The 6,850-nt window shown below is 38.2% G+C and overlaps 1 protein-coding gene across 15 annotated transcripts in view; it reads right to left on the reverse strand.

The window, feature by feature from the left end:
* The window catches only part of PDSS2 (decaprenyl diphosphate synthase subunit 2), a 307,003-nt gene that overhangs the window by 115,340 nt on the left and 184,813 nt on the right, over window positions 1-6,850 (reverse strand). For all 15 annotated transcript variants that reach the window (XM_011535960.4, XM_047419100.1, XM_047419098.1 and 12 more), the window contains one exon: window positions 6,128-6,326. In XM_011535960.4, the coding sequence (XP_011534262.1) occupies window positions 6,128-6,326 (199 nt within the window). The remainder of the gene's footprint in view (window positions 1-6,127; window positions 6,327-6,850) is intronic.

Raw genomic sequence — 6,850 nt, forward strand, 5'->3', positions numbered from 1 at the left:
TAATAGTCTGCTTAATAGGATCAATTCATTTTTTACTTTAGCTTTTAAAAAAATATGAATATAAATTAGATATTAAAGGTACCATACTACTTTCTCCCTTAAATTCCGCAGGTCTACCTCATGAGTATATGTGCTAGCCAAAAATGCAAACACATGATGAGAAGGTAGGGCAGAATGTTACTTGTCTCCTAGTATCTTTTATCTGTATCTTCCAGATTTTTGGCTGGATCCATGATGACCTACAATAAAAATTACATTTTCTAGCTTCCCTTACAGCTAGGTATGGCTATATAATTAAATTCTGGTCAACAGGATGTAAGCAGAAAAATCTCATATAACTTATGAGAAATGTCTTTAAAGTGTGAATACTATATAATTTATCATGCAAACTGGGACACAAGAGTAAAAAGAAGCGCTGAAACAACTAAAATTTTATACTTTTTGAAATATGTATTTATTTCAAAAACAAACAGCTGATTTTATTATATTGAAATAAATATGTATTTATTTCAAAAACAAACAGCTGATTTTATTATATTGGTGGACTCAACAGGTTCTATTCAAAAACTGTTTTCAAAAATAAAATTTCAAAAGAAATAAAAATAACATACATGTACATACAATAGAACAATAACTTCTTTATACTGATTATCTGAATATTTAAAAATAATGAGAATTATTATTGATGTATATCTACATAGTTTAATCCATTTCTTAGACATATCTGTCTCTAATATTGTGTCACTGGCATTTTTCTGAAGAATGTGTTCATTAAAATACAGTATTTAAAAATAAAACTGCCCGCAATATTCTTCACAGTTGCAGTTTATGGTTAGTTTGAAATTACTGATACTTTCAATTATGGAGAAAATTCTCTTTCTACAGGTTCTAAGTTACCTGATAAGTTCAGAGTAAATTTGCTAAATGGAGGACATAATTCTAATTTTAAAAATGTTGAACAGTATAAATATTTCAGCCCAAATATTTTTAGAGGCACTCTCTTTTTGCTTCCATCAGAGTATCTTACTTTAACAAATAGTATTTTTTTTTTTTTCCATACGGAGTTTCGCTCTTGTTGCCCAGGCTGGAGTGCAGTGGTGCGATCTCGGCTCACTGTGACCTCAGCCTCCTGGGTTCAAGCGATTCTCCTGCCTCAGCCTCCCAAGTAGCTGGGATTACAGGCATGCACCACCATGCCCTGATAATTTCAGGGTTTCATCATGTTGGTCAGGCTGGTCTCGAACTCCCGACCTCAGGTGATCTGCCTGCCTCAACCTCCCAAAGTGCTGGGATTATAAGCGTGAGCCACTGCACCTGGCCTAACAAATATTTTTATAAGACAAAACTTGTCAAATAAGTTGTCTCTATGATTCTTTTCAATGTTTTGCCAAATTTAGATGGTGCAAAATCTAGGCCTTCTCAATCTCATTTCGTGTGTCTGTGTGTGTGTGTGTGTGTGTGTGTGTGTGTGTGTGCAATTTATTCAAAGTAGGAGCACCACCAAGATTCTTCCTGCAAGGTGAGACATTTCAAATCGCAACTACAGAACTGAAAATTTTAATCTTGTATATCGTTTGAGTTGTTACTGTTTATATCATTCCTTCTTTGCTTTTGTCAGGAAAAATTCTAATGGAAGTTTTGTTTTGTTTTCATTAATTGTAATTCCCTAAAAGTCTCATGTAGTGTTCTGTTTATTGAATACTTGATTTAAGATTCTCAAGTGATGTTGAACGAAATGCTGCCAATTATTATTAGTAGTAGTAGTAGTAGTATTTTTTGACACAGAGTTTCACCCTGTCACCCAGGCTGGAGTACAGTGGCGTGATCTGGGCTCACTGAACTGAAACCTCCACCTCCTGGGTTCAAGTGATTCTTGTGCCTCAGACTCCTGAGTAGCTGGAATCACAGGCATGCACCACCACCTCTGGCTAATTTTTGTATTTTCAGTAGAGACGGGGTTTCACTATGTTTGCCAGGCTGGTCTCAGACTCCTGACCTCAAGTGATCCGCCTGCCTTAGCCTCCCAAAGTGCTGGAAATACAGGCGTGAGCCACCGTGCCCAAATGCCACCAAACTTTTGATGACCCATTTAGAATAAAGTTCAATACCACTGTTGGGGGCACAGATTGATTTATAAAGATTTCTAAAATCTGATCAACGACAGACAACAAAGAGAAAAGGCACATACTGCTCTGCTGAAGTGTATTATTATTATTTTTTTTTTGAGACCGAGATTCGCTCTTGTTGCCCAGGCCGGAGTGCAATGGCGTGATCTTGGCTCACTGCAACCTCCACCACCCAGGTTCGAGCGATTCTCGTGCCTCAGCCTCCCAAGTAGCTGGGATTACAGGCATGTGCCACCACACTCGGCTAATGTTCTTTGCATTTTTAGTAGAGACGGGATTTCACCATCTTGGTCAGGCTGGTCTCGAACTCCTGACCTCAGGTGATTCACTCGCCTCAGCCTCCGAAAGTGCTGGGATTACAGGCATGAGCCACCGTGCCTGGCCTGAAGTGTATTTTTCATCTGACATCCACCGTGCCTGGCCTGAAGTGTATTTTTTATCTGACATCAGTTACAACTCCCAAATCATATAGTTCAGTGACTGTGACTATTCAGATATTTGTAAATTTTGATGTAACAATAGCTTCTATTAAAATAGAAGACTTTTGGTGCTTGTTTAGATGTAATGATCAATTGTGTGTGTGCCACAACCAATGTCAACTACTCCACAGGTTGCTTAACGTAGTAAAAACATTGTTTTTACCACAACACTGTGCTTCACCAAAATTTGTACTTCTATTGTTACTATAAACTAATAATTTTATTTTCTATATTGAACTTTTAAACTGAATTTCCAATCTCACTCACAAAGGCTTTATGTTTAATAGAATATACTTCCAAAAACTTTACCTTAATCCCATGAATGAATGGAAAGAAAAAAACCAAACCATTTGTAGAATTAACTTAAATGATTTACTTACTTGAAATACCTGATGACACTGAACTAAAACTGGAATTATTTAACTGCTTTCAAAGTTCTTCTACTGACAATGATGCAAAAGAACTATTGCTTCCCTTTTCCTATATACACATAAACACTTGTAGTTGATAATCAGTGCAATCACTTAGCATAGTCATTTCTCTAAATATAAGTTATGTTGCAGAGTCGTATGCATATATACCTTCTGCAACTGCATAAAGTAGATCCTGACACTTCTTCAGCAGACTTTACTCTTCTTGTTTTCATGTGGTCAATGATAGATACCACTATGGCCTCCACAGTGGTTGGTAAATGTCAACAAACATTTTGTTCAAGTTATTAATATACATTCCTTATTAACTTTCTTAAGAAAAAAAATCAATACTTAAAAAAATGAAACACATACTTCTAGTTTTTTCAGTTTACTGCTGCCAAAAGGATTTATTGCAAAAACAAAGTATTGCCAAGCAATAAAATAGTTATAGATTTACACTGTACAAGCAAGTGTGCTCATTCTACACTCTACTTGCTCCCTAGCAGAGCTGATCAGCCTTGATTTCCCATATATATTTTACAGACACCCAAACCTATAATTTACTGTTTCCCACTGAACTTATCAACTGGTATCTGGCAGCTTTGTGACTCTTGCAGGCCATGCATGGGCTACAGTACAATTGGGTGACACACTACACAGCCAGCTTCTCCCACCACCTGATACAGGAAAGAGTTAGCTGCCCCTAGACATTTGTGTCTGAGTGCACTTTACTGTATTAGCAATTGCCCTGCATTCTGTCCTTGATTGGGAAGTGTTAGTTGTGTCTGAAAGGGCTGGGAAAAGAGGTAAGTTATTTCTGGTATCTTTCAGATTTCCTAACAACTTAAAATGAAGCTGGGCACAGTGGCTCATGCCTGTAATCCCAGCACTTTGGGAGGCCAACACAGGAGGATTTCGTGAGCCCAGGAGTTCAAGACCAGCCTGGGCAACATGGCGAAAGGCAAAAGCCCGTCTCTAAAAAAAAATACAAAAAATTAGCCAGGTATGGCTGTATGCACCTGTGGTCCCAGCTACTTGGGACACTGAGGTAGGAGGATTGCTTCAACCAGGGAGGTTGAGGCTGCAGTGATCACGCCACTGCACTCCAGCCTAGGTTACAGAGTAAGACCCTGTCTCAAAAAAGAAACATTAAAAAAAAAGAAACAAAAAAAAAAAAAAGGACAACTGATAATGAGAACTCTCTCCACTGTGTAAGGGTCTCAGAATACTATTACATTACATTACACAAAAACAAAAACAGAGGCTGGAAGTACTAAGTGGGGATCTACCAAATTCATCCCAGCTTATTCTAATATAATTATTAGTAATAATTCTCTGTTAAAAAATGAAAAATTCAGGATAAATGCTAAATCAGATGGGATCCCAGGATAGCTGGCTTACACTGAGACTCTCCTTTAGCAAACTAGGATGTACACTGATCCAACCTTCAAAGGAAGGAGATCTGCCCTTTTTTTGTCCTTCCTCGTTCTATTGACTGGAGGGAAGCCATAATGGCAAATGCCTCGGGCCATGATGTGGTAAGATAAGGATGGCAAAACAGTAAGACAGAAGGAGCCTGGATCCCTGACTTTGCAGACTCACTATACCAACTTTTGACTGCCTACTCCTAGATGATTTTACATGAGAGAAAAAATACATTCCTATCTTATAGGGCACTGTTATCTTATAATCAAACCTAATCCTAACTGATATAACAAGAAATACCTTTATAACCTTTCCAGAAAGCAGATTGGCAATATGTATCAAGAATACTAAAAATGTGGCCAGGCGTGGTGGCTCATGCCTTAATCCCAGCACTTTGGGAGGTTGAGGTGGGAGGATCGTTTGAGGCCAGGAGTTCAAGACTAGCCTGGGCAACACAGTGAGACTCTGTCTCTATAAAAAATTTAAAAATTAGCCAGCCAGCTACTCAGGAGGCTGAGGTAAGAGATCGCTTGAGCCCAGGAGTTTGAGGCTGCAGTAAGCTATGATTATGCTACTGCACTTTATTTATTTTTTTTATTTTTATTTTTATTTTTGAGATGGAGTATCACTCTGTCGCCCAGGCTGGAGTGCGGTGGCACAATCTCAGCTCACTTCAACCTACCAGGCTGGAGTGCAGTGGCATGATCTTGGCTCACTGCAACCTCTGCCTCCCGGGTTCAAGCGATTCTCCTGCCTCAGCTTCCCAAGTAGCTGGGATTATAGGCACGCGCCACCACGCCCAGTTAATTTTTTATTTTTAGTAGAGACGGGGTTTCACCATGTTGGCTAGACTGGTCTCGAACTCCTGACCTCAGGTGATCCACCTGCCTCGGCCTCCCAAAGTGCTGGGATTACAGGAGTGAGCCACCACACCTGGCCTTTAACCTGGGTGATACAGTGAGACCATGTCTCTATAACAAAAGGAAAAAAAAAACACTAAAAATGTTTAACCCTTTGAACCACTTCTAGGTCTTTATCTTAAAGAAATAATCTGGAATAGGGAAAATTGATATGCAAAGATCTTTACTGAAGATCTACTTATGATAGTAAAAATAAGAAGCAACCTAAATGTCCAACAATGAGGAATCTGATAAACAAGTGGTATTATATCTAAGTGACTGGATATTATAGAAAAAGTTATAACCATGGGAAGATGCTCGCATCATAATATTATGTAAGAAAAAATAGGCAGGATTAAAAAACCTTATACATAGCAAGTTCTCATATATATTACAAAAAATTACATATATAAAGGCATTAATGAACAACAAAAAAAGACTACAAGGAAATACATCAAGATATTAACCAGCAGTGATTATCTCTGGATAGTGGGATTATAGGTAATATTTACTTACATTTTCTTTGTTTTGAAGATTTAACCCTATCCTATAATTAATAATTTCATCCATAATCAGAAAAAAAATTACTCTCAAAACTCTTTCCTAGCATTTACACTTTGCCTGGTACTAACACTGCCATCATTATGTTCATCACAGTTTTACTGTTTACTGAGCATGTACATGAGGGGAGTTGGGGCAGCCGGGCACACAGACCTGCAGCTCCAGCAGCCAACTAATTGCTACCTGAAGCCATTCAGGTACAACAAAACCCTGCCCAATTTTACCTTGGTGTTCTGTAGCAGAGCTAGTCCATTGCAGGCATTTGCTAGAAGAAAGTCTCCACTCAGGATAGCAATTTTATTTCCAAATTGCATGTCTTTCAGTGGACCATCAGATGATTGCAACTCATTTAAATTTACTATCCCACGATGTACAAGGAGAGCAATATGAATTAGCTCCGTGATCTCTGCCAAACTTCTTTGACTAAAACATAAAGGTAAGATTTGTTAGAATATCAAGAACACCATTTTATCACTAATGTCTGATTTCAGTTTTCAACAATAAAATATTCCATAGGTTGCCCCCCACTTTTTTTTTTGGATTATATCTTTCTAATGAATCTTTAAATAGAGGTCTCTCTACTGAGCAGTTTGGGATCTGTAAGATGTTGACACCTTCCTTCTCTGTAATACTCCTCACTCTTCCCCACAAGTCACTAGGATATCCCAGACAGAAGTTGACCAGTGGAGGGCCACCTTCCACAGCTCCATTTAGATACTGTGCTCTTGGTATACTTTCCTCACGCTCATAACTTCAAAATTTCTAAGACTCCTTAGTAGTGTCTAATGGAATTCCAATTTAAGTGAGAATATAATCTGTGCCAGATACTAGTCTAAGGGCATTACATACATTATCTCTCTCTCTTTTTTTTTTTTTTTTTTTTGTTTAGATGGGGTCTCACTCTGTCACCCAGGTTTGAGTGCAGGGGTGCAATCTCAGCCCACTGC

The sequence above is a fragment of the Homo sapiens genome, chromosome 6, assembly GCF_000001405.40.
Source record: "Homo sapiens chromosome 6, GRCh38.p14 Primary Assembly".
Classification (NCBI taxonomy): Eukaryota; Metazoa; Chordata; class Mammalia; order Primates; family Hominidae; genus Homo; species Homo sapiens.